The sequence below is a fragment of the Homo sapiens genome, chromosome 10 (genome assembly GCF_000001405.40).
Source record: "Homo sapiens chromosome 10, GRCh38.p14 Primary Assembly".
Taxonomy (NCBI): Eukaryota; Metazoa; Chordata; class Mammalia; order Primates; family Hominidae; genus Homo; species Homo sapiens.
The window spans coordinates 102,100,236-102,124,017 of record NC_000010.11 but is presented as its reverse complement, the minus strand read 5'-3'; the positions used below and the strand labels follow the sequence as shown (position 1 = coordinate 102,124,017).

General features: G+C 53.3%; 2 protein-coding genes across 12 annotated transcripts in view, besides 16 other annotated features; one reads left to right on the top strand and one right to left on the bottom strand.

Annotated features, from left to right (window-relative positions):
* Nucleotides 1-4,129, bottom strand: part of PPRC1 (PPARG related coactivator 1) — a 30,445-nt gene extending 26,316 nt beyond the window's left edge. The window contains exons 1-2 of one of the 3 annotated variants that reach the window (XM_047424879.1): nt 3,994-4,129; nt 1,641-2,081 (exon numbers count right to left, since the gene is read on the bottom strand). The gene's annotated coding sequence lies outside the window, so the exon portion shown is untranslated. Of the gene's footprint in view, nt 1-1,640; nt 2,082-3,044; nt 3,564-3,993 lie in introns of those variants that run through there. The other 2 variants (XM_024447914.2, XM_047424878.1) reach the window with 2 other exon arrangements.
* Nucleotides 1,511-2,260: an enhancer, noted in NCBI's record as "H3K27ac hESC enhancer chr10:103881515-103882264 (GRCh37/hg19 assembly coordinates)". NCBI's record gives its function as "activates a minimal SCP1, AML or CMV promoter by ChIP-STARR-seq in primed H9 embryonic stem cells {active_cell/tissue: H9 hESC(primed)}" and the evidence as "EXISTENCE:reporter gene assay evidence [ECO:0000049][PMID:30033119]".
* Nucleotides 2,261-3,012: an enhancer, noted in NCBI's record as "H3K27ac hESC enhancer chr10:103880763-103881514 (GRCh37/hg19 assembly coordinates)". NCBI's record gives its function as "activates a minimal SCP1, AML or CMV promoter by ChIP-STARR-seq in naive and primed H9 embryonic stem cells {active_cell/tissue: H9 hESC(naive and primed)}" and the evidence as "EXISTENCE:reporter gene assay evidence [ECO:0000049][PMID:30033119]".
* Nucleotides 2,576-21,930, top strand: LDB1 (LIM domain binding 1). Of its 9 annotated transcripts, XR_001747255.3 has the most exons (12): nt 9,016-9,612; nt 12,482-12,584; nt 12,718-12,762; nt 12,874-12,949; nt 13,047-13,149; nt 13,317-13,489; nt 13,975-14,097; nt 14,335-14,418; nt 14,511-14,634; nt 14,841-14,983; nt 18,774-18,838; nt 21,472-21,930. XR_001747255.3 is itself a non-coding variant. In XM_047425980.1 (11 exons), the coding sequence occupies exons 2-11, from the start codon at nt 12,565-12,567 to the stop codon at nt 15,923-15,925; spliced, it is 1,128 nt and encodes a 375-aa protein (XP_047281936.1). In that variant the 5' UTR covers nt 2,576-2,695; nt 12,482-12,564; the 3' UTR covers nt 15,926-17,529. The 9 variants fall into 9 exon arrangements, 8 of the variants coding, with proteins under 8 accessions (XP_047281936.1, XP_016872356.1, XP_016872357.1 ...); XM_047425980.1 differs by lacking the exons at nt 9,016-9,612; nt 18,774-18,838; nt 21,472-21,930 and adding exons at nt 2,576-2,695; nt 15,695-17,529 and having other exon boundaries at nt 14,841-14,989; XM_017016867.2 differs by lacking the exons at nt 9,016-9,612; nt 21,472-21,930 and adding an exon at nt 3,650-3,932 and having other exon boundaries at nt 14,841-14,989; nt 18,774-20,058.
* Nucleotides 3,013-3,764: an enhancer, noted in NCBI's record as "NANOG-H3K27ac-H3K4me1 hESC enhancer chr10:103880011-103880762 (GRCh37/hg19 assembly coordinates)". NCBI's record gives its function as "activates a minimal SCP1, AML or CMV promoter by ChIP-STARR-seq in naive H9 embryonic stem cells {active_cell/tissue: H9 hESC(naive)}" and the evidence as "EXISTENCE:reporter gene assay evidence [ECO:0000049][PMID:30033119]".
* Nucleotides 3,261-3,390: a silencer, noted in NCBI's record as "silent region_2747". NCBI's record gives its function as "represses an Ori minimal core promoter by ATAC-STARR-seq in GM12878 lymphoblastoid cells {active_cell/tissue: GM12878}" and the evidence as "EXISTENCE:reporter gene assay evidence [ECO:0000049][PMID:35858748]".
* Nucleotides 3,411-3,710: a silencer, noted in NCBI's record as "silent region_2746". NCBI's record gives its function as "represses an Ori minimal core promoter by ATAC-STARR-seq in GM12878 lymphoblastoid cells {active_cell/tissue: GM12878}" and the evidence as "EXISTENCE:reporter gene assay evidence [ECO:0000049][PMID:35858748]".
* Nucleotides 3,771-3,850: a silencer, noted in NCBI's record as "silent region_2745". NCBI's record gives its function as "represses an Ori minimal core promoter by ATAC-STARR-seq in GM12878 lymphoblastoid cells {active_cell/tissue: GM12878}" and the evidence as "EXISTENCE:reporter gene assay evidence [ECO:0000049][PMID:35858748]".
* Nucleotides 3,941-4,010: a silencer, noted in NCBI's record as "silent region_2744". NCBI's record gives its function as "represses an Ori minimal core promoter by ATAC-STARR-seq in GM12878 lymphoblastoid cells {active_cell/tissue: GM12878}" and the evidence as "EXISTENCE:reporter gene assay evidence [ECO:0000049][PMID:35858748]".
* Nucleotides 5,470-6,171: an enhancer, noted in NCBI's record as "H3K27ac-H3K4me1 hESC enhancer chr10:103877604-103878305 (GRCh37/hg19 assembly coordinates)". NCBI's record gives its function as "activates a minimal SCP1, AML or CMV promoter by ChIP-STARR-seq in primed H9 embryonic stem cells {active_cell/tissue: H9 hESC(primed)}" and the evidence as "EXISTENCE:reporter gene assay evidence [ECO:0000049][PMID:30033119]".
* Nucleotides 6,172-6,874: an enhancer, noted in NCBI's record as "H3K27ac-H3K4me1 hESC enhancer chr10:103876901-103877603 (GRCh37/hg19 assembly coordinates)". NCBI's record gives its function as "activates a minimal SCP1, AML or CMV promoter by ChIP-STARR-seq in primed H9 embryonic stem cells {active_cell/tissue: H9 hESC(primed)}" and the evidence as "EXISTENCE:reporter gene assay evidence [ECO:0000049][PMID:30033119]".
* Nucleotides 6,344-6,583: a silencer, noted in NCBI's record as "silent region_2743". NCBI's record gives its function as "represses an Ori minimal core promoter by ATAC-STARR-seq in GM12878 lymphoblastoid cells {active_cell/tissue: GM12878}" and the evidence as "EXISTENCE:reporter gene assay evidence [ECO:0000049][PMID:35858748]".
* Nucleotides 8,885-9,094: a silencer, noted in NCBI's record as "silent region_2742". NCBI's record gives its function as "represses an Ori minimal core promoter by ATAC-STARR-seq in GM12878 lymphoblastoid cells {active_cell/tissue: GM12878}" and the evidence as "EXISTENCE:reporter gene assay evidence [ECO:0000049][PMID:35858748]".
* Nucleotides 9,205-9,354: a silencer, noted in NCBI's record as "silent region_2741". NCBI's record gives its function as "represses an Ori minimal core promoter by ATAC-STARR-seq in GM12878 lymphoblastoid cells {active_cell/tissue: GM12878}" and the evidence as "EXISTENCE:reporter gene assay evidence [ECO:0000049][PMID:35858748]".
* Nucleotides 9,375-9,524: a silencer, noted in NCBI's record as "silent region_2740". NCBI's record gives its function as "represses an Ori minimal core promoter by ATAC-STARR-seq in GM12878 lymphoblastoid cells {active_cell/tissue: GM12878}" and the evidence as "EXISTENCE:reporter gene assay evidence [ECO:0000049][PMID:35858748]".
* Nucleotides 9,575-9,664: a silencer, noted in NCBI's record as "silent region_2739". NCBI's record gives its function as "represses an Ori minimal core promoter by ATAC-STARR-seq in GM12878 lymphoblastoid cells {active_cell/tissue: GM12878}" and the evidence as "EXISTENCE:reporter gene assay evidence [ECO:0000049][PMID:35858748]".
* Nucleotides 12,560-13,759: an enhancer, noted in NCBI's record as "CDK7 strongly-dependent group 2 enhancer chr10:103870016-103871215 (GRCh37/hg19 assembly coordinates)". NCBI's record gives its function as "activates an origin of replication core promoter dependent on BRD2, BRD4, P300/CBP, MED14 and CDK7 cofactors, with strong dependence on CDK7, by STARR-seq in HCT116 cells {active_cell/tissue: HCT116}" and the evidence as "EXISTENCE:reporter gene assay evidence [ECO:0000049][PMID:35650434]".
* Nucleotides 15,997-16,498: an enhancer, noted in NCBI's record as "H3K4me1 hESC enhancer chr10:103867277-103867778 (GRCh37/hg19 assembly coordinates)". NCBI's record gives its function as "activates a minimal SCP1, AML or CMV promoter by ChIP-STARR-seq in naive H9 embryonic stem cells {active_cell/tissue: H9 hESC(naive)}" and the evidence as "EXISTENCE:reporter gene assay evidence [ECO:0000049][PMID:30033119]".
* Nucleotides 21,931-23,782: the final 1,852 nt, after the last annotated feature.

Genomic DNA, 23,782 nt, shown 5'->3' with positions numbered 1-23,782 from the left:
TGGTTAATTTTTAGCCAGGCATGGTGGTGCATGCCTATAATCCCAGGTACTCAGCAGGCTGAGGCAGGAGAATCACTTGAAACCGGGAGGCAGAGGTTGCAGTGAGCTGAAATTGCGCCATTGCACTCCAGCCTGGGCAACAAGAGCGAAACTCCATCTCAAAAAAAAAAAAAAAAAAAAAAAAGGCCGGGCGTGGTGGCTCACGCCTATAATCCCAGCATTTTGGGAGGCCAAGGTGGGCGGATCACCTGAGGTTGGGAGATCCAGACCAGCCTGACCAACATGGAGAAACCCTGTCTCTACTAAAAAAAATACAAAAATTAGCCAGGCGTGGTGGCAGGTGCCTGTAATCCCAGCTACTCAGGAGGCTGAGGCGTAGGGAGAATTGCTTGAACTGGAGAGGTGGAGGTTGCAGTGAGCTGAGATTGCACCACTGCACTCCAGCTTGGGCGACAGCGCAAGACTCCGTCTAAAAAAAAAAGGTTAATTTTATGTTATGTGAATTTTACCACACACATACAGAGGGAGAGAGAGAGAATACTGGGCACTTACACCCATCCATACAAATCAGCTAAGCCTCCAGTCCTCCAGGACATTGTCATTAAGTTAAAGACCCCCCCTCCACATAGACTCCACCCCCTTCCTACCACATCCCTTCTGTCTGCCAGGTGTCTGTGACCTCTCTTCCCATTTTTGCCTATACCACAATTCCCAGAGATGCTCCAAAGATGTTCTCTTCTCCCTCCCCAGGTCTGATCCACACTAGAAGTAAGGCAAGGAGTGGAGCAATGGGTCAAGTGCTTGTTAGCTCTGTTACCTTGGCAAAGTTAACTAACTTGCCTAAATGGAGTTCCTGTAGGAGCCCCAATCACTTATTTTAACCACCCATTCAACAGTACTGAGATGGTATTTCCTTACCGGTAACTGGGCTATAGTGTCAGTGGGAGTGGGAAGGGTAATCTTCCCAGAGAAGGTGAAGCTAGAACTAAGGTGTTAAGGAAGCATTAACTAGTAGGTGAAGAAGAGGGAGAACAGTGTTTTACAGGCAAGTTCAAATTTATTATCATCTCTGAACTTCAGTTTTCCTACTTGTTCAATGGAGGTAATAGCACCTTCTTCCAAAGGTCCTCATGAAAGGTAAATGAGTCGGCAAGTGTAAAAGGCCTAGGGCAGTGCCTGGCATTAGTGCATGCTCAAGTAAGGCAGTTTTTTCTTCCTTCCTAAGCTTCTACCTTCCACATGTGTAATCTAGGAGAGGGAAATCTCAGATTCACAGGAGGCAAAGACCTTTATAGGGTGGGTTGTAGTCCCCCTGTCCACCCAGATGATCACCATTGTGTTGGTCAGCATGGAATCTGACCAAGCTAGTTGTTTGGAATGAGTGGCCTTAGGCGTAAGTGGTCACAGGATTGGAGGAAGGCAAATTCATGGACAGAAAAGAGAGAAGGAGGTCAAGGTAGGTATTCCCCCTCCTCCAAACCATCTCAAATTGTCCTGCCAATCCAGCCCCCTCCTCTCTTGGAATTGGATAATCTTAAAAAAAAAAAAAAAAAAAGGGCAGAAAGAACACGTATTTACAGGACTGCCTGGCTGACACTGGGCTACGTGACTGGGTGTACATTGTCTAGTTTGATACTCACCAAGCCATAGGTTACAGAGGATAAAGCTAGTGTCCCAGGTGGGGTGGTCAGTTGTCTCAAATCACTCAGGTATTGAGGAGCGAATCTTGCGTTCAAACCTAGGTATCCACAATTTCGGGCCAGTGTTCTGTTGCCTTATGTTCTCTCTACTCCCTCTAGTGCTGACCTTTGTCTGGGAGAATGCAGGGAGGGGGTGCACTCAGGCAGGGGATGCTGCCAAGGAAATACTTGTGTGAGTGTGGATGGCTTCAGTCAGGTCCTCTCTGCTCCTGGTGGGGGTGGAGATGGGGAAACCTGGGGGTGGGAGACTCCACAGTGTACAAGCTCCCCTATCCCCCATCCTAAGCACATGGTGGGGAGGGTCTCCATTCCTAGGCAGGCCTTCTTTTCAATCCCTGGACTCTGCACCGTTCCATCATTTCATGCTCCCTCAGCAAAAACCTAAGGTGGAGAGAAGAGGTCTCATAAACACTTTAAGCCTCCGCATTTGTAACCCTCCCCCAGCCAGTCAAGCCAGCTGTGCAGACTCTGAGCCAGAGTGAGGGAACCAAACAGCCTTCTCAACCAACACCCCTCTAAGTAACAAAGAGGAGAACCCCCTACCCAGTCAGGGCCAGACGCCCTAGGGAGGAGACACTAGTCCAAGTCTCCATCGTCTATCCCTGGAGCCCATACTGAAACTTAAGAAAGAAAAGCTAGCAGCTGGGGACCCCAGGAGGGAGGGGGTCAACTCTCTACTCCAGGCGGCTCCCCTCCCTTCCCTCCTCCTGGCTAATAGGTATTTCCTGTTTATGAGGCAGCTAAAGCTGAGCTTTTGGGAAGGGATGGAGATGGAGCCCCTCCCCTCCTAGGGCTGGGTTGGGGAGTCCTTGAAGTGTGACTGAAGGTTGGGAGGCTCCTCCCAGGGGAAGGAGTGTTCCTTACATTGACCATCCACATCATCTCCCATCCAACCCCCCACGGCCCACAGCCTCTGCCTCTCTGGGTTAGGGGGCACTGGAGGGGCCTGTTTCCTGTTCTCATCTCCGAAGCCCTCAAAGGACAGCAGCTTCCAGGCAGGGGGGTCGGAGGCGGTGGGGTTGGGCGGTTGGTACGGAGGTGAAGGCACCAAGGCTGGAGAAAGGGGGGAAGGGAAGAGAGTGTCTTGACTGATGCGTCAGTCTGCAAGAAGGAAGGATGGCCTCCTATCGCCCCTCCGTAATCCAATCTGGTGGTCATTCCGCAGCCCCCTCCCCCCAGCAAAACACAGATCCCAAGCCCTTAGGCGGAGGAGGGCGGGGACCCCACTTAATTAACCCTTTTAGTTCTAGTCCCAACTGGTTTCGCAGGCAAAGGAGGAGTGGTTAATTTAGGGAAGGGGTGAGTTGAGGGGTTGCTACAAGAATTAAGAGAATGCTTCTTTACCCATCCAGCCTAGGGTAGGGACGCGAAACAAGGGGCCTCCAGAAGAAGGCTGGCGTCTCAGCAGGGAGCACGGACAGGGGGTCTGCAGTCCCTTTTCCCTCCCGGAGCGCGGCCCGGGGTGGAGAGAGATACACCACACTGCCCACCCCGGCTCCGCCTCCCCCAGCCGCGGCTCCCGCTCCGGCTCAGCCAGACTCCCCATCCGGCGGCACCCGGAGGACGGACACCGAGCGCGCGGCTGCGCCTCCAAGCCCTCCCCTTCGCCCTCCCTCTCTGGGGTCTCTGCCTCCGTCTCCTTTTTTAAAAGCTGCGTCACATGCATGCCGTTCCCCGAGCGCTCCCAGCCCCTCGCCGCCCGCCCGCCGCGCGGCGCACGCACGTCGTCGCTTGCTGCGCGCTCTCCCGGGTCACTTTGACACGGCTCTCCCCTCCCACTAGCAGGACAATTAGCATATTAATAAAGCCCGGCCCTGCCCGGCTTGGGCTGGGGAGCCGGCGCCGGCGCGAGGGAGCGCGAGCGCGAGGGCGGAGAGGGGGGCGCTCGGCGACGGCGGCGGGAGCGCACAGACACGCACACGCACACGCGCACACACGCACACACGGACACACACTCCGCGGACTCACACCCGCGCGCACACACGCAGAGGCCGCTCGCCTTCCTGCCTGGCTTCCTTCCTGTCTGCTCCGCGCCTGACAGGCCCCTCGCCGCAGCCAGGGGCCGCCCGCACCGGGCCGAGGCCGGGCCGGGCCGGCGGCGAGCGCAGCGGGGGCCGCGGGCGGCGGCGGCGGCTCATGCCCGGCCTGTCCCCGCGAGGGGCGGGCACCGTGACTCGGCTGGGCCCCCAGAGGCGGGCGATGTGAAGATGTCAGTGGGCTGTGCCTGTCCTGGTGAGTGGGGCGTGCGGCCACTCGGCCCCTTCCTGCCCAGCCGTCCCTGCGGACCCCTCACCCCGTGTTTGGCGAGAACTTGTGTGGGGGGCGTCGATGGCATGGGGGAAGCCGGGGGCTGGAAGGGCTACGCGGGGCCTCAGGCTGGCGGGTAGCGTTTTCCCCAACTGTGTAAATGCGCAGCAGCCCAGAAACACGGGGAGGAGACGCTGGGGGTGGCTTATGTGTATGTTTTTTTGGGGGTAGGCTAATTGGGGAGAGGTTTGGGGGGGGCTGAAATTCTCAGAATTCCAGGTTGTTAGCCAATCAGAAGTGACTCTGGACTTTTGACCCCCCCCCTCAGGTCACCATAGAGTTGTGATTGGCTGGTTTGGGCTGCCCCCCCTTCCCTGCTGCCCATTGCCTCTTACCTATCCTGTGACATCCCCCCCATGCTGTTTCTGAGGACCCTGTTTGCAGGGAGGTATTGATTGCGGCCCATCTTGCCCCCCACCTTCAACTTTTCCTGCCTGTTGCCAGGGAAGGTTGGCCCTCCTGAGGCACCGGAGGTACTCCTAAGAGGTGCCAGATAATTGGACCCTTGGGTCTGGCATCTCCGCCCTAGTGGGAGGGCAGGCTAGGAAATAGAGTGATTTGTGGAGAGGTAAGCTGGGGGAGCAATACTTGACCCAAAACTGAGAACTTGAGAGAGGACCCAGGCTCAGATCCCTGCCTCCCCAAAACATATCAGCTCTTGCCAGGGATAGCCTAGGTCTGAGTTTTTTTCCTGGGGGGCAGGTGGGGGGGGCGGAGGGCGTCTACCTCACTGCCAGGAGGAAAGAGAGAAGCCATGCGACTGGAGAGGTAGTCTACAGAGGGCCTCACGGCACACTGTCTGTCTCCATCCCCGGGACTCTGGGTCCTGGAATTGGCCCTCCTGCCCCAGACTGGAGTCAGCTTTCTCCTGGAAGTCAGTGTCCCTGAATGTAGCCCGCTTTGGCTACATACTTCACAGCTGGACACCCACCACTCCCCCACAAATCCCCAAGGGAAGCTGCCAGTGCGGAAGCTTCCTTGAAAATCATGTGACCCAGGCCAAGCTGGGCTGGGCACACACTTCAGGTGCCTGCTGAGGCTGATGTCTAAGGGGCATGGGTCCCAGAAGGAGGAATAAGAGAACCTAACAATCCTAGAATATCCGAGTATGGGAACCACTGGCTCCTGCTGCAGAGGGTTGGGGAGAGGAGAGGGAAGAGCTTGCCAAGCTGGAATCCTGTCTGGCCCCGTCGTCCCTCTTTCTACCAGCTTGGTGTACATGTTTATGTTGTGGATTTTCTCCTTTATAATTGACCCATGCTGGGTACCCCTTTCAGATCCATCATGTTCTTAGCCCACCCCAGGGCCCTGACCCTCCATCAACACACATGAGCAGAGCAGTTAAACTAAGGATCTGAACAAGCTAGAGGGATGAGTCTTAAATTGTGATTCTTAGTTCCTACAAATAGTGGGTAAGCGGGTATGTATGTATGGAGGGGTTGTCAGGCTGGAGGTGGATGGGAGGTTGGCCCTGAAGTTGGGGCAGGGTGCCTGGGTCCAGTGGGAGGAGAGAGAAAATCTCTTCTTCTTAGTCTCTGGGAGCAGCATGGGAACAGGAAGAGGGCCCAAGCCCAGGGGTTTGTGGGTGGGTGGGAAGACAACTTCAGTCAATGCCCCAGAAGGCATGTTCCTTTTGTGTCTGGTGGTCTGACTGAGGGAGAGAGGGCAAAAGATAGGGAAGAGTGGGGAGTCTTTTTCCAGATCATGAAGAAGTCTTATAGATTGATGCCAAAGAGGGTGGATGGAGGTTAGACTTCAAGGAGAACCACATGGGGAGGGCTTCAGAGTAGACTGGAGGTGGGGAATAGTAGCAGTTGAGGTTAGAGAGGGGACCTGGCTTGCAGCTTGCTTGGATGGGGGAGCACATGCTTGAACACAAGGAAGGCATGGCAGCATGTAGCAGTCCAGGCCCAAAGATTTCCCCCACCTTGAGCAGCCCTGGGGTGAGGGCTGAGGCGCCCTGGCAGGCCGCCTGCCGCCTGCCTGCCTGCCTGTCTGAGTCTCTCCTTTGTGTTCTGCTGTCTCCGGGCTCCTCCTCCTCCCCCAGCCCGGCAGAGACAGCACATGCCCCACACATGTGACTGAGGGAAGCCAGAGCGCACACAGACCCACACACATGCACACGCAGAAGCACCACAAGATACACACATACACATGCCCAACACCCATATTGCTCCTGGGGTGAGGACCAGCTTCTGGGGCTGGAATGGCTGGGAGCAGGGAGAGCCTCTGACTAAGGGGCATCACCCTGAGCAAGAGGCTGAGGGGGCCAGGGCCTGTCTGGGGCAGCATGTGGCTCAGAAGGGTTAAGGCAGGGAGGAGTAGGGGGAGGGGAGGAGGCAGCAGTGGTGGCGGCTGGGAGCCAGGAGAGGAGGATGGCAGAGCGCCAGGCCAACGGGAGGCCGGGCACAGACAAAGGAAGGGGGGCAGGCACACTGGAGGCCTGGGTCAGGGAGCCCCAGGGGCCCGGGCAGGGGGCAGTGCTGGTACCTCATCCTGTGGGCTGGGGCTGGCTGCTGTCCTTTGAGTCCCCACCTCCAGGAGGAGTACTTTCCCTCATCATCTTTGTCATTATTTGCTGCTCCCTCCACCTCACCACCAATTCTAAGGCCTTCTAACTCAGACTTGCTCTTTTTAGCTGGACCTGTTCTGCCCCTGTGCAACTGGGTAAATCTGGTCAGAGCAGAGAAAGGAGCAGACTTGCTAGAGAATAACTAGAAGGCCTGTTTTGAATGGTTTGCCAGTCGATACATCTTGGCATTTAGGGGCCCCTCCACCCCACAGCGAGACTGGAGGGCCCTTGTAGTCCCTCCTGTCTGAGGAGACAGGGTGGGTGTGGGGTTCTGAGCTCTGGGCTGGAGGCAAAAGCCAGAGCACATTTCCCCCTCCCCATGAGGACAGTGATTTGAGGCCTGGAGGGGGAAGGGAGTAGGAATGGCTGCAGGGCTTGGCTTGTATCTGGTGGGTTTAGAAGTGCAGGGTTCAACCCCCCCACCCCCCAGCCCACCCTGGTCATCCTGTCTCAGTGGGTTCTGTTAGGATCTCACTGTTAGGATATTTGGCCCTATGTGCTATGAGGATCTCTTGAGGTACTGCCTGTGAATGCACTTTGGAAAGTTTAAAGGCAGTGGGGGAGAAGTGGGACTACCCCAGAGTTAAGCTGTAAATTTGGGAGTCAGTGGGAGTGTCTTAAGTCCTGGTGATAGGCTGTATGTTGCAGGGTCTGGCTGAATGTTATAGATTTCAGTATGTTTGTGAAAGCTGGGGTTTATTCTATGGCCAGGCTGTGATGAGGAATGGTACGCAGGCTTCAGAGAGGGTGATTTATAGGTTAAGTCCTTGCATAATAAATGATCGGGGTGTGTATGTGATAGGCTGTCACAGGTTTAGGGGTTATAACACAGTTTTGGTGTGTGTATTGAGGTCAGGATGCGTGTCATAGGTCCCAGTGTGTATGACTTAGACTGTGTGTGTGTGTATATATCCAGGATTTGGGTATATTTAGGATTTGAGATATATCACAGGTTGATGGCCAGACGCGGTGGCTCACATCTGTAATACTAGCACTTTGGGAGGCCAAGGTGGGTGGATCACCTGAGGTCAGGCGTTCGAGACCAGCCTGGCCAACATAGTGAAACCTGTCTCTACTAAAAATACAAAAATTAGCTGGGTGTGGTGGCATGCACCTGTAATCTCAGCTACTCAGGAGGCTGAGGCAGGAGAATCGCTTGAACCCAGGAGCTGGAGGTTGCAGTGAGCCGAGATCGCGCCACTGCACTCCAGCCTAAGCAACAGAGCGAGACTCCGTCTTGGAAAAAAGATATATCACAGGTTGAAATGTGTATCAGGTAGTGATTTATGTGAAAGTGAGATGTGTTATTTATGTGGAAGATGTTCACAGAGCCAGGTGCAATATTACTGCACAGTTAACTAGTGAGTATGTCATAAGAAATCCTGTCCTTGGAGTTATGTGTGAATATAGTTGGGGGTAGGAGACAGGAAGTAGAGAAACAGACACTCAAATTGCAAAGAAGGAAATAGAAGGTTCGTGCTCCCCCTTCCCGTGTGTGTGTGTGTGTTTGTGTGTGTGTGTGTGTACTATGTATTTTCCTTTTCCTATTTGTCCACGAGTAAGGTCTGGCCCACTACCCAAGTTTTAGAAATATTCCCTCCTGCTACAACAAAATTACCTTAGGAAAAAAAATAGAAATATCTGCTCCCTTGGGATGCCCTGCTGGATGGGAGAACAGGTCCTATCCACTAACCACACGTTTTTTTTTCTGGGGTGGTGGGGAGGATTCAGCAGCAAACTAAGCTCCTTCTGGGGACCCTTGGATGGCCAAGTTGGCTTTCCCTAGCTCTGACAATGCCTCTTTCCCTGGCACCCACTTGTCTTCAGTGGTGGTGGGGAAGGGGGCTTCCTGTTAAGGGGGATCTAAGTCAAGGCTTGGAATTTAGCTGGGTTGGGGGCAGGGAAGCCTGGAGTGTCCCCCTTCCTCCAATCAGTGTTTACAGTCTGATGTCAGAATGTGTGTCTGTCAAAAATAACCCCCTGGAGCCTCTCCCCCCAGCTGCTCCAGGATTTCACCAGGGGAGCCCAGGCTGGCAGTCCGGGCCAGCCTTCAACCTGAGCGATCACAGGGGCGAGAAAGATTTGGGGGAGGTTTGGGAGGTGCTTTGAAGATCTTGGAGTCTGCAGAGAGGAGCCCGCCCTCCTCCATCTCTGCCAGTGGCTTTGGCCCACCTGCTCACTCCTGAGCACCGTGCCTGGGGCTCGGGGGAGGCGGGCTGCATTTCGTTCCTGGCCCCCACAGGCCTCTCCTCCATCCAGGTCTCTCCTGGCCCAATCTGATCCGTCCCCTGTCTCTCCCAGTCTCTGTCTCTCTTTTGTTTTTCTCAGCAGTCCCTCCGTCCCAGCCTCCCTCCCTCCCTTGCTCTTCCTCTTTCCTCTCAGGGAGGGGGCGGGGCCGGTGGGGGCAGCTCCACCCTCCGCCCGCCCTGGGGCCTCATTCTGAGAGAGGCTCGGAGAGAGCGAGCGGGGAGGGAGGGAGGCAGGGAGAGAAAGGGAGAAAGGCAGGCAGCCGGCGGGCGCTGCGTGTGTGTTTGAGTGTGCGAGTGTGAGTGAGTGTGAGTGCCGGGTCCTGCCTCTCCTGGTGCCCCCAGCAGAGGGGCCCGGTGGCCTGGGGAGGGCGGGCGGGCTGCTCGGAGGCAGAGGCAGCAAGAGGCGGCGGCGGGGAGAGCCGAGAAGGAGGAGGAGGAGAGAGGAAAGAGCGGAGCAGCCATTGTTGAGGGAAACCTTGCAAACAAAGAAGGCTCCGGACTCCCCGCGGCCCCCCGCCCCCCAGGCCGGCCCCCTGGCCCCCGGCCCCCGGCCCAGTGGCCATTGTAACTTTCCCCCGGGACAGCGGCCGCCGCGGGGCGGGCCGAGGCAGTGCGTGCGAGTCTTTGTGCGGCCGGCGGACTGGAGCTCCCAGTCGGGCCTGCCCGTCCCACTCGGGACATGAGCTGCTGAAGTTGTCCCCCCGTCAGCCCTCACCCCTGCCAGGACTCCTCTGGGCTTGCAGTCGCTCCCCCGTACCTCTCCTGGCCCCCTCAGTTCTCCCAGGTAAGTCTGGGCACCCTGCGAGCCTGTTGGGGGTGGGCGGAAGGCCCTCAGCCCGGCCCGGGCCTGATCTGCGGGCTGGGGGAGAGGTGCCCCAGCCCAGAGCCGCCGGGGCGCTCAGGCCTGCTGACCTGTGGCCAGTCCCTAAAGGGAGGAGGCCTGCCCTCGAGTCAGCCTGGTTACCATGGCAATACCCAGCTGGAGGTGCCCCCCTCAGCCCCGGGATGCAGCTTCCACCCTGAGAAAACTTTACTAGTTCTGGGCTCTTCTCTCCCCCTTCCTAAAGGCTTCCAATTTGCTAGAGGTGGGAGGGGGGCTATGGCTGACTCCAGGGCTGGATGACACATCTCCTCCGTCCCCCCACCTTGCTGCCTCTACTCCTGCTGCTGGGGACAGGCAGCAACAGGGACAGATGGTCTGGGTGATGTCCCTCCCCTTCTCTACTCACTCCCAAGCCCTTGTGCTGGAGCCACTGGGAGTTGTGGCTCTGGAGAGATGCTGAGTTTGTGTCCATTCACTGGAGGTGTAAATAGAGGCCCAGAGCTTTGGGCTCTAGCTCCTCAGAGCTATTTACCCAGGCCTAGACAATGCCTGTTCATTCTCTAGAGAGAGAAATGGAGGCTCTGAGAGTTTTTTTTTTTTTTTTTTTACAAAATTGGAGAGAAACCCAGGCGTCCTGCCTCCTGTCTCTTCAGGTTCTTGAGCTAACACATTTCAAGTGGCCCGGAAACTGAGGAGGCAGGGGTGGTTAAGCTATGGGAGAAAGGATGGCCTAGTTGGGGGATGAGGGCCAGGTCTGAGAATCTACTCTTGGGTTTATTGCCCAGGCCTGGCCTCTGGTGGGCTGTGTGAGTTTGGGCTTCCTGTGTGGCCTTAGTCTGCCTGTCTGTGGATTGGGGAGACTTGGTGGCTGGGTGGGGACTGTCTTTCTGGAGACACAGGCTCAGTCCAGACTGGCATGTGAAGGCTGTGTGTGCTGTTCTTGGAGCATATGGATGTGGCCCGTGAGAGCTCGTGCATGGGGTGAGGGCCTGTTGCGGGCATCTGAATCTGCCTGGGGCTGCTGGGTTCCAGCCCTTGATAGGCATGTTAGGGCGAGCTGAGGGTGAAAGCCTGCTAGGCAGGATGAGGCACACGTGTGTGCAGGCACACACAGGCTCTGACTTGGCATCTTCAGAGACTGTGCAGTCTGGGACCCTCCTTTTGCCTGCATTGTGAGGACAGGGCTCTGGGGAGAGAATTAAATGACACATGTTGGCACAGGGTCTTCTTTTGTCTCTTCCCCCCAAAGAAACAAAATAGGTTTTGTATCTAAGTTGGGGAGGAGATCTAGATACAGCCAATCTAGCTACCCTTCCAAATGCAGTCGAGTTTTAGGGACCCAAGGAAGCAAATGTGATTGGAGTCAGATGAACTTTTGGGCCTGTGCCTCAGTTTCCCCTCCTATCTGGTGAGAAGGGGAAACAGAGTTGCAGGGGTACCTGGCTCATACCCAACTATGAATTTAACACTTTTTCCAGTCAGAAAACAGTATTCCAGGAACTGTTTGCTGTTAGGTGAGGTGAGAGAGAGGACATGTGCACATCACAGATACACACTAGTGAGACCCCTGTCTAGTGACCACTTGCCCCTAGACTGAGGAACATAGGCTTCTTCCCAGACCACCTACTTCTCAATTGTAGGTAGAGTGGGATGCAAAGGAGGCTCATCTGCCTGCTTCCCCGACTCCCAAGTCTCAGAAGAGAAAAGGGGTTGAGGCTTTGGGTTTCTGGTTTGGAGACAATACTGTCTACCCTTGGGGGCGGGGGTGGGGGCTGGGCTGATAAGGGAGTGGCCGTTAGTGGGGAGGCAGAAGGCCCAACTGGTTATCTGGTAGGCCACACCCAACAGGCACCCACCCCCATTTATCTTTCCATCCCTTGCCCTCCTGAGACCCTGAGGGTGGAGGAAGGGCAGAGTTTGAAAATCCTCCCTTTTCCTCCCCCACTTTGGTCTCTAGAGGGCAATAGAGGGGTCAGATGGTAGAAAGAGTATAGGATGTGGGAATCAGAAGATCCAAGCTCAAGTCCTAGCTTTGACAGTTACTAGCTTTATGATCTTGGCAAGGTCCTTTGAGCCCTCAGTTGCCTCATCTGTAAAATGGGAATGTTATGGTCAGCCCTGCTACCTCATAAGGTTGTTTTGATGATTGAGTGAAAGTATGTAGATTAAAAGGGGGTTTATCAATATTAGATTCTAATGATTGGATATTTATTTATTCTGTAATCATTCTTCCCAGCTTCAATTCCTCTTCTGTCATCTAGGACTCAGCCAAATGAAGAAATGGGATCTTGGGTATGCGCTGGGATTAGGGTGGACTACTCTTGTTTCTTAATGAAATAAGATTGGAGCCAGAATTAGAAGGAGAGACAGGTGCTCCCTAGAGTAGCCCCCTCCCCTAGTCCACCACTCTCTTATAATCAGGCCAGGGAGCTCCATAAGACCGTCCCTATCCACACAGTCTAGCAGGATTATCGGACAGCTCCCAAGAGGGGGTCAGGGGACTCCTTTTTCTTTTTGAGACAGGGTCTCACTCTGTTGTCCAGGCTGGAGTGCAGTGGTATGATCTCCGCTCACTTCAGTGTTGACCTCCCAGGCTCAAGTGATCCTCCTGCCTCAGCCTCCCAAGTAGCTGGAACCACAGGCATGCACCACCACACCCGGCCAACTTTTCAATTATTTTTAGAGACGAGGTCTCGCTATGTTGCCTAGGCTGGTCCCTGCAGCCTCGACCTCCTGTGCTCAATCAATCTTCTTGCCTTGGACTCCCAAAGTGCTAGATTACAGATGTGAGCCACCGCGCCCAGCTATGACTCCTTTCTTTCTCGTCTAGGTTGTTCCTCAAAGTCATTCAAGCTGTACTCGCCGAAGGAGCCCCCGAACGGCAACGCCTTTCCCCCCTTCCATCCCGGCACCATGCTGGATAGGGATGTGGGGTAAGTGAGTCTCTTGGCCACTTCCTAACCCTTCTCCAGGTGGGATCCTGCCTGGAAAGGGGAGGGAGTAGCCCCCTGCCCCCAATAATTCCTATCTTCAACCCCCATTCTCATAGCCTCTTCCTTTACACAGCCCAACTCCCATGTATCCGCCTACATACCTGGAGCCAGGGATTGGGTAAGTGGAGTCCAGTGGGGAAGAAGGTGCTTTCCACTGGGTGAAGGCCGAGGTAGGGGGTGGAGGGGGCAGGCTCCGCTCCTACTGACCTCTCTCCTTCACTTCCTCCAGGAGGCACACACCATATGGCAACCAAACTGACTACAGAATATTTGAGCTTAACAAACGGCTTCAGAACTGGACAGAGGTATGGCCAAGGGAAAAGGGGCTGGGAGCAGGAGGGCCATCTGGGCACCCTATGGGATATCTTATGACACATGAACACCCGTTACCATGCTCCCTAGGAGTGTGACAATCTCTGGTGGGATGCATTCACGACTGAGTTCTTTGAGGATGATGCCATGTTGACCATCACTTTCTGCCTGGAGGATGGACCAAAGAGATATAGTAAGTGGCCTCTGGGGTCTTGCTATGAGGGTGTATACCTCCTATGTCGTTCTAAGGTCTAGAAGTGGGTCTGGGAGTGCCAGGGGATATCTAGATTGGTAGGGGAGGCATCTGCCTGGCCCCTTTTGCGGTCCCTTTGTCCTGAAGAGTTTGTCCCATCTCTACAGCCATTGGCCGGACCCTGATCCCACGCTACTTCCGCAGCATCTTTGAGGGGGGTGCTACGGAGCTGTACTATGTTCTTAAGCACCCCAAGGAGGCATTCCACAGCAACTTTGTGTCCCTCGACTGTGACCAGGGCAGCATGGTGACCCAGCATGGCAAGCCCATGTTCACCCAGGTCAGCAACCCAGCTGGATGTGGAACACCATGGCACCTGGGTTTGATTCCCATCCTCTCTCCCAGTGTATACTCACAGCTGTTCCCCAGGGAGGCATAATGTGAACTGGCAAAATAAGAAGGGCGGGTAGGCATGTTGCAACCGTCAGCAAACATGTATTGTGTTTGTATGGGATAGTTTTCTGGGCCCCAAGGCTACACGAGTGAACAAGAGTCTGCCCTCATATAGCTTAGAGCAGGTGGGTGTATCACTAGCCACATGGGGAGAGGACAAGGATCTGTTAAGCTTTTCTACTGTGTGTCTGTGTGTGTAAGGGCCAGGTATATGGGTGGGGGGTACTGTGACATTTATGCACCCAGATTTAATGTGCAGGTGACAAAAGTGTATGCAATGGGAGAGTTGTAAGCAAATGGGAGACTGTAATAGACATACCTTCAGGTATGGTATGTGGGGAGGGGGCAGGGTTCTGACAAGCCTGTCCCCAGGTGTGTGTGGAGGGCCGGTTGTACCTGGAGTTCATGTTTGACGACATGATGCGGATAAAGACGTGGCACTTCAGCATCCGGCAGCACCGAGAGCTCATCCCCCGCAGCATCCTTGCCATGCATGTGAGTCGTGGGCAGGACCCAGGATGCAAGAGTGAAGGCAGGCGGGGGAAGGGTGGAACAAGGTCTGCCATTTCCCGACTGACTACTTAGACAGAGGGTTAGGGTTTCTTCATCTGAACAGCAGGTTTAATAAGAGACTATCCTCTCTCAGGAGTGTCACAATGCTCAGATGATAGGGCAGGTGAGCAGAGGCAACCCAGGTGTCAGTGTTCTTTCTTGTCTTTTCTCCCACTCTAGGCCCAAGACCCCCAGATGTTGGATCAGCTCTCCAAAAACATCACTCGGTGTGGGCTGTCCAATTCCACTCTCAACTACCTCCGAGTGAGTCTCCGACCACCCAGTTTCTGCCCCAGTCCATTTAGTCTCGGCTCCATGTCTGTCCCCTGACAAGCCACCTCCTTGTCTACCCCTAGCTCTGTGTGATACTCGAGCCCATGCAAGAGCTCATGTCACGCCACAAGACCTACAGCCTCAGCCCCCGCGACTGCCTCAAGACCTGCCTTTTCCAGAAGTGGCAGCGCATGGTAGCACCCCCTGGTGAGTGCCTTGCACCTGCTCTTACCAGGATCTCACACCGCTCCCCAAAGCTGTATCTTTATTTCCTTTTGAAGTTTTCCCCACCCCTTCCTTGTTCCCGGGTCTACAAAATTGGGATCAGGGCAGGCTCATGCTCCTTGGGAGCCACAATGGAGAATAGGGGACCTGGGGCCCTCTCCCATCTGAGTCTCCGTTTACCGGCACAGCGGAGCCCACACGTCAGCAGCCCAGCAAACGGCGGAAACGGAAGATGTCAGGGGGCAGCACCATGAGCTCTGGTGGTGGCAACACCAACAACAGCAACAGCAAGAAGAAGAGCCCAGCTAGCACCTTCGCCCTCTCCAGCCAGGTACCTGTAAGCATCTCGGCTTTCTTCTCTCTTCTGGGCTGCCCCACCACTCACCCCTGACCCCTTTCCAAGCCTGAGCTCACTAGCAGGCGTAGAAGCAAAGACAGTTTTTCTCATGTACTCTGCCAGCATGGGCTAACTGCTTTTACTGGTGAGAGAGTTCTTGTCAGGCACTTGCATGGGTGTGATCACACAGACTCAGCCATAGGAAGCTAGGGCATAAAGGGACAGAGACACCCATGAGGACATACGGATATTCAGGACAGACAGCTTGGGGCTCACAGACCATCCAGCACACACACTCACACTGATAGACATGCAGACTGGAGTGTTTGCAGATCCAGAATACATACCCTTGCACATGCACACACTGCCCTCCCTCATGTTTTTGATATGCTCCCTTTCTTACATGTGGACAGAAGTTGAGGAGTCCCCTAAAATTTTGGGGAGATGGGCTAGGGAGCTAGGGGAGTAGAGTGACTTCTAGAATGTAATGGATATGGGCTAAAGGCTTTGATGCTCTGGTGTTCTTCAGTAGGAAGGATTCCAGGAGCTGAGGGTGTCAGGAGTTGGGGTTTTAAATTCGGGTATGAGGAGGGGGTGGGGACTCTTGAGCTTCCAGGGTGGGTACTGGGGCTCTGGGGGTATCTGCCGCCCTGGGCCGGGCGAGCCCTTGCCCCGATTATGTTTGGGGACCTCCGCCACTCTCAGGATGTGATGGTGGTGGGGGAGCCCACCCTGATGGGCGGGGAGTTCGGGGACGAGGACGAGAGGCTCATCACCCGGCTGGAGAACACCCAGTTTGACGCAGCCAACGGCATTGACGACGAGGACAGCTTTAACAACTCCCCTGCACTGGGCGCCAACAGCCCCTGGAACAGCAAGCCTCCGTCCAGCCAAGAAAGCAAATCGGAGAACCCCACGTCACAGGCCTCCCAGTAAAAGGCCCTGCTGTGGCCACCCAGTGCTCTGCCTACCTGCCCCACCCCTCACAGCCCCAGGGAGCAGAAGACAGAATGAAGAGACTGAGCATCTAAAATGGGCAGCCTCCATCCACCCGCTTCAGGGAGGAACTGGACTCTCTGGGGGCAGGTGCCAAGATTTGCCCCCCCAGTGGCCCTGGGCTGGGCCTGGCCTCTACAGAGCCTTTTAGGGGGAGGGGGTACTCATGTGGATGCCTACTTGGAACCTGGGCCTCTGAGACATGTCCTGACCACCCCCCAGGGCATTTGCCTCCATCTTCACCCCAGATTGTGGGTTTCCCATCCCCCTGACTTTACCCCTTTCAAGCCTGGGGTTGTCTATACCCACAGCCCTTAGGGACTTAAAGTTACGGGGCTTCGTTGAATGCTCCTTCCCCTAGGCAGCTGGTAATAGAGGGGTAAAGCTCTGGGCCCCTCCTCCCTGCTGCCACTTATCCCAGCTCCAAGTTTTTTTAAAAATAATATTATTAAAAATGTAAGTTAAAAAAAAAATCACTCATGTCCCCCCCTCTTCCCCCTATTAAAAGTCCAGCTACCTCCCTACTCTTGGCAGATGGGGGCCTAGGGCCTAGGTGGGGGTGAGAGTGGGGGAGGGAGGTGTGCATACCATTTTATATGGTGTGAGAGCTTCAGACCAAGGAGACATTTCACCATCTCTCCCCCTTTCCTCTGGGGTGACTGCAGTTGAGGAAAGCATGCCATGGGGTAGGGGGACATTGGTGGCCACATTTTGGTGACAGACCCCTGCTGTTGTCTCTGTGTCCCCATTCTCTGGACTCTGGCCTGCCCTCCTAGTGCTTGTGACTCCCTCTCTTCCAGCCCCACCCCCATGGTATGTATATTCCTTACAAGTCCTCCACAAGAGCAGCTGTCTAGGATGCGGGGAGGGGAGGCTCCTTCCCTTAGGGAGCGTGGAGAGAAGGGAGCAGCCTTGTTGCTGTATTTTTGGTTTTGTTTCAGTTGGGCAGGCATGGGATGGGAGAGGGGCTCAGCCACTTTCCTCCAGAATCTTCCCTCAGCCCCTCCAACTGCATATGTAATCCTACTCTGTCCTTCATAGAGGGGAAGGAGCCACAGATGACATCCCAGTTCTAAGCCCACCAGGGAGGAACAGGCCTCTGTCCCCATAGGTGAGGTAGAGGTAGAGGGTCTTCACCTGCCAGTATCCCCTGCCGCTCCTTCCTCACAGAAGGAAGGAGGAGGAGGCAGCCGGGATCCTCGGCTCTGCCAGGGTGCAGCCAGGAGCAGGGTTTCACGCAGCTGGTCCAGCTCTGTGGCTTTGCTGCCTTTTCCTGTGGCCAGTCCCAGGAAGTGCTAACACCACCTCTCTCCCCACTCTTCCCTCTGGATTCTGGGGTCCCCCACACCGTATTTCCTCCACTCCAGCTGCCACTTTTGGAAGGGTATTGAGTCAGGAGCTGAGGGAAGGGGTGAGGAAGGTGGACATCCCATCCCAACTGTAATGCCTTTTTTTTTTTTTTTTTTTTTTTTTTTTTTTTTTTTTTTTTTTGGGCCATTTGAGTCATGTATGGTACCAATCAATAAAGAGACTTTTCGGTTTGAGAGTGTCCTGGTTGGTCATTGATGCCTAATAATGACTCAGTCCAAGGCAATCTTTTCCCCATCCTTGCAGTTCCTAAGACTATGAATTGGATCCCTTCACTCACCTCACATTTCCCCTCACTCTTGAAGTTGTTTCCCTGAATTACACTTCTCCTTCACCCAAGACCCTAAAGTTTGTTCCCAGATGTCCCAGCTTGGCCCCATCTCCCTCAAAAGTTGAGGGAGAGTTGGCTTTCTCAGTCTGCTCCCCACCTCTCACCCCAGGACTGTTGCTTCTCACCCTTAGCTGTCATGGGGCAGCCAGACAGGTGGCCCTCCTGGGGCAGGTTCCTGGGATAGACTGCCTTGGGTTATGCCGTTGAGGGAGGGGTGGGAGAGGGGACTTGGCCCAGGAGGGGGCTTGGGTTAGATGGTCTTGGGGTACTTAGAGTACCTGGGAGACTCCTACCCCTACCCAGCCCCCAGTCTACTAGCCTGGCTGATGTTGGTTGGTTAGTTGGTTTATTTATTTTGAGATGGAGTCTTGCTCCATTACCCAGGCTGGAGGGCAGTGGCATGATCTGAGGTCACTGCAACCTCCACTTCCTGGGTTCAAGTGATTCTCCTGCCTCAGCCTTCCAAGTAGCTGGGATTACAGGTGCCCACCACTATGCCTGGCTAATTTTTGTATTTTTTTTTTTTTTTTTTTTAGTAGAGATAGGGTTTCACCATGTTGGCCAGGCTGGTTTCAAACTCTTGACCTCAGGTGATCCACCCGCCTTGGCCTCTCAAAGTACTAGGATTATAGGCGTGGTCCACTCTGCCCGGTCAGCAGCTGAGGTCTAAATTAGTCTCCCCTGGTGCTAAGGTCCCTGGGTGGGGGATTAAGAGAGTAGCAGGATTGCTACTCTCCAGACTGGGAAGATATGGAGACCCCGCTGTAGATTGGAGATGGGGTCTTAGTGCCCATAAAGCTCCCTATCCAGTGTCCCTCTTTGTCATCCCAGGCAGGGGAAGCTGAGGCCTCAAACTGTTCCCCTCCTAAGTTCTCCCTGGACCTGAAATAAAGCCCGATAGACTGGCACCTCTACCCTCACCTCCCTAGCTGGTAGGAAGACACCAGAGGAAGGGACTGTATGACCTGTCCAATCTCCAATCTACAGTTATCTTGGCCGTGCCCTGCTGCCAGCCCAGCTTCTCATAACCCAGTGCCTCAGGACCCCAAGGAATGCTATTGCACCCCACCCCCAACTCTTCCTTTGTAGATCTGGCCAGCCTGAAGGACATTTACCAGCCAACTGCCACCAGCAACTCACCCTGAGAGTGCCAGGTAACATCTACAGTGGGTCTGTGTCTGGCACTGAGTGTACATCTAGCCCATTAGCCTGAGTGTGTGTGTATGTATGTGCTGCTGAGCTAGGGAGGGCCTGGATCTGTTTATATGTGCAGGTAAGGGAGTATATACATGTGTTTGTATGTGGGCATGTATATGCATATGTTTATGTATGTGTCTGTTGGTTAATTAATTCATTCAAATATTATTCATTGAGCCCTCTTTAGGTACTAGGCCCATTCTAGGTGCTGGGGATATGATGTTGAACAAAGCAGAGAAGATGTGACTGCTGAGTGTGAGTGAAGGCTATAAATCCGTAAATGAGGGTGTGTTGTTAAATGTGTGGCTTAGCAGTGCGACTGTGTTGAGTTATGGGGCTGCTGGGACAGTGGTTGTGTGACTCGGTTGGGTATTTGTAGGTTCACGTCTTGTATGTATATGTTTGTGTATGGAGGGAGATAGTCAAGGGAAAAGGTAGATTGCCAGGCCTGGACCCCATCCTACTTGGGGGCAGGGGGTAGGTCAGAGAAGCAGGAAAACACACTATTGAACTCAGGAAACACAGTGGCCAGCAACTTCCTCTGGAGCCCCATATCTGGCTCCTCCCCATTTGCCCCCAGGAACCCCTGGTGAAGAGGAATTACTGGGGTGAGGGAAGAGAGAGACCCTCCAAAACCCTCATGCCCTTTGTTTTCAGGTACATATGTGGGCCCAGTCCCAAGCCTTAGCACATTGCTGAAGAGCTTTGTGCTGCTGAGCTAGGGAGGGCCTGGATCTGTTTATATGTGCAGGTAAGGCAGTGTATACGTGTGTTTGTATGTAGGCATGTATACGCATATGTTTACGTATGTGTCTGTTGGTGAATTAATTCATTCGGATAGTCTGACCATGTACCCCAGCCAGGGCTTCTGGATCCACAGAGGTCTGAACCCAACCCCAAACCTCTGTCCCTCCTGGACTCCCAGCTCCTTCCTCATTTTTCCTGACCCGGTCTGATCTGATTCAGCCAGAGAGCTCCATCCCCTTTCCTAGGAACCTACTGTAGTCTGGTGCAACTTCCAACCCCTCTTTTATACCCTTAGCCCAGTCCAGCCTGACTTCTTTTTTTTTTTTTTAAGATAGAGTCTTGCTGTGTCGCCCAGGCTGGAGTGTAGTGGCATGATGTCGTCTCACTGCAACCTCTGCCTCCTAGTTCAAATGATTCTCATGCGTCCCAAGTAGCTGGGACTACAGGCACATGACACCATACCTGGCTAATTTTTTTATTTTTTATTTTTAGTAGCGACGTGGTTTTACCATATCAGGAGTTCAAGACTAGCCTGGGCAATATAGTGAGACCTCATCTCTACTTTTTCTTTTTTAAGAGATGGAATCTTGTTCTGTCGACGAGGCTGGAGTGCAGTGGCATGATCTCGGCTCACTGCAACCTCCGCCTCCTGGGTTCAAGTGATTCTCCTGCCTCAGTCTCCCTAGTAGCTGAGACTACAGGTGCGCACCACCATGCCCAGCTAGTTTTTGTAATTTTAGTAGAGATGGGTTTTCACCATGTCAGCCAGGCTGGTCTTGAACCCTTGACCTTAAGTGATCTGCCTGCCTTGGCTTCCCAAAATGCTGAGATTACAGACCTGAGTCACTCCACCCAACCGAGACCTCATCTCTAAAATAAATAAATAAGCTGAGTGTGGTGGTGCATCTATAGTCCCAGCTACTTGGGAGGCTGAGGTGGGAGAATTACTTGGGCCTGGGAAGTTGAGACAACAGTGAGTTGTGATTGCACCACTGCACTCCAGCCCAAGTGACAGAGCAAGACTCTCTGTCTCAAACAACAACAACAACAACAACAACAAAACAGGTGCAGTGGTTCAGAACGCCTGTACTCCCAACAATTTTGGAGGCCGAGGCAGGTTGATCACCTGAGGTCAGGAGTTCGAGACCAGTCTGGCCAACATGGTGAAACCCCATCTCTACCAAAGATACAAAAATTAGCTGGGCATGATCATGCACCTGAAGTCCCAGCTACTCGGGAGGCCGAGGCATGAGAATCACTTGAACCTGGGAGGCAGAGGTTGCAGTGAGCTAAGATTGTGCCACTGCACTCCAGCCTGAACAACAAAGTAACACTTTGTCTCAAATATATATATATTGAGTCAGCAGCTCCCTAGTTTCATGATGGACTTCGAAGCCACTGGTTTAAGCTGGGCATAGTGGGACTGTGCCCATATAGTTCTGTGCCTATAGTCCCAGCTACTTGGCAGGTGGCAGGCTGAAGCAAGAGGATTGTTTGAGGCCAGGAGCTTGAGGCCACAGTGTGCTATGATAGCACCAAGGAATCGCCACTGCACTTCAGCCTGGGCAACATAGCAAGACCTTGGTCCCAGCTCCCTAGTACCCAGAATGTTTATAACGACTATGACTGTCATTCATGTGGCCACAGCCCCATTCACTCAGGGCCCAGCTCTGGGGCTCCTCCTAACCCCCACCCTAAGGTCATAGATGAAATGGATGGGAGACTACATACTCAAAAGTTCTAAGCTGGGGAGTGTGGGAAGCTGAATGGGAATGGAAGCTGACTCACACTTCCAGATTCCTTCTTCAGCCTCAGGAGAGGCTCATTTTCCCACTGATTTCAGGACCCATTTCCAGAGGAAGCCAAACCCTGGATTACTTCCCTCCTTGCTGCTCCACCTCTATTCCACCAGCTCACCTCTACAAGAGGAGGACCTAGGGCCAGTCCCTGGAGAAAAGTCCCAAAGGAGCTTGGGGGAGAAAAATCTTCTCCCCATCACCCCCAACAACTGAGGCTGCCTGGAGGATGAGGTAGGCTAATTTCTCTCCCTTTCCTTTAACGGATTTCAGATGCACAGAACTAGATTAATCATAACCTTGGTTCATGACACACTCTCATCATTGTTCCATGCACAGCACACATTTACTTATAAGGCTATCATATGGGGCCAGGTGCGGTGGCTTACGCCTGTAATCCCAACATTTTGGGAAGCCAAGGCAGGTGAATCACCTGAGGTCAGGAGTTCAAGACCCACCTGGCCAACATGGTGAAACCCTGTCTCTATGAAAAATACAAAAAAAAATTAGCTGGGCATGGTGGTGCATGCCTGTTAATTCCAGTTACTTGCGAGGCTGAGGCAGGAGAATCACTTGAGTCCGGGAGGTGGAGGTTACTGTGAGCGGAGATTGCACCATTGCACTCCAGCCTGGGCGACAGAGCGAGACTCCATTTCAAAAAAAGACTATAAGAAATAATCAACATGGGCCGGGCACGGTGGCTCATGCCTGTAATCCCAGCACTTTGGGAGACCAAGGCGGGCGGATCACAAGGTCAGGAGCTTGAGACCATCCTGGCTGACACGGTGAAACCCCATCTCTACTAAAAATACAAAAAATTAGCCGGGTATGGTGGCGGGTGCCTGTAGTCCCAGCTACTCGGGAGGCTGAGGCAGGAGAATGGCGTGAATCCGGGAGGCGGTGCTTGCAGTGAGCCAAGATCGCGCCACTGCACTCCAGCCTAGGCGACAGAGCAAGACTCCGTCTCAAAAAAAAAAAAAAAAAAGAAATAATCAGCATGAAAGCTAGGACCTTGGGAATAACTTGGCAATAAATCTAGCTATGTGTTCCATCTCTCAAGATATCCATCATTCTCTTGTTTTCCTTATATACACACACATATATATTTTATAAGACAGAGTTTCACTATGTTGCTCAGAATGTAGTGCTGTAGCTATTCACAGACCCGATCATAGTGCACTGCAACCTCAAACTCCTAGACTTAAGCAATCGTCCTGCTTCAGCCTCCCAAGTAGCTGGGACTACATGCATAGCTGGGACTGTAGGTGGCACCACTACACCTGGCTCCTTTTCCATACTTACCAGCTGTATGTATTCCTGAAAATTTATAAGAATTTTTAGCTGGGAGCGGTGGCTCACACCTGTAATCCCAGCACTTTGGAAGGTCGAGGCGGGTGGATCACCTGAGGTCAGGAGTTCAAGACCAGCTTGACCAACATGGTGAAACCCTGTCTCTACTAAAAATACAAAAATTGGCCGGGTGTGGTGGCTCACGCCTATAATCCCAGCACTTTGGGAGGCCGAGGCGGGCGGATCACAAGGTCAGGAGATTGAGACCATCCTGGCTAATGCGATGAAACCGCGTCTCCACTAAAAATACAAAAAATTAGCCGGGTGTGGTGGTGGGTGCCTGTAGTCCCAGCTACTTGGGAGGCTGAGGCAGGAGAATGGCAGGTGAACCCAGGAGGTGGAGCTTGCAGTGAGCCGAGATGGCACCACTGCACTCCAGCGTGGGCGACAGAGCGAGACTCCGTCTCAAAATAAAAAAAATAAAACTACAAAAATTAGCTGGGCATGGTGGCAGGCACATGTAATCCCAGCTACTTGGGATTACTCCATCTCAGAAAAAAAAAATTTTTTTTAAGTTTAGTTATTTTTTACATTATTATAAGGGAGTATTGCTGTATGTAATTTTTGGTGGCTTATTATATTGTATTAACAAGATTTATATTGTTACATATTGCTTACAGTTTACTCATTTTGGGAACTCTATAATATTCCATTTTGTGACTCTACCCAGTTATTCATTCTCCTGTCACTGGACATTTGGGTTGTTTCCAGGTTTTGGCTATTGTGAAGAGTATTTCCATAATTTTACTTCCATCTCCTACTGTAAATGTGCAGTTTTTCCTGGTTATATGTTTAGTAGTAGTCTCTGCAAACTCATGTTCCCACCTCTGAAGCCTAAGCTTGAGTGCTTTTACTATGGAAGTTCTACGGTTAACTCAAATTAAAATTTTAACATTTATTGAGTCCCTGCTATATAAACTCTACTCGGCTCGTTCATCCATTCGGTCAACCAAGCTAAATTTAGTGAGCATCTACAAAATGCCTGGAGCTGGAGACAGAACAGTGAAT

Coding starts and splice junctions, on each gene's coding strand:
- LDB1 (NM_001113407.3), top strand. CDS start 3,908: ATGTCAGTGGGCTGTGCCTGTCCTG. Junction 13,490..13,974: donor GCAAGCCCATGTTCACCCAG/GTCAGCAACCCA, acceptor GCCTGTCCCCAG/GTGTGTGTGGAGGGCCGGTT. Junction 14,635..14,840: donor GCGCATGGTAGCACCCCCTG/GTGAGTGCCTTG, acceptor TTACCGGCACAG/CGGAGCCCACACGTCAGCAG.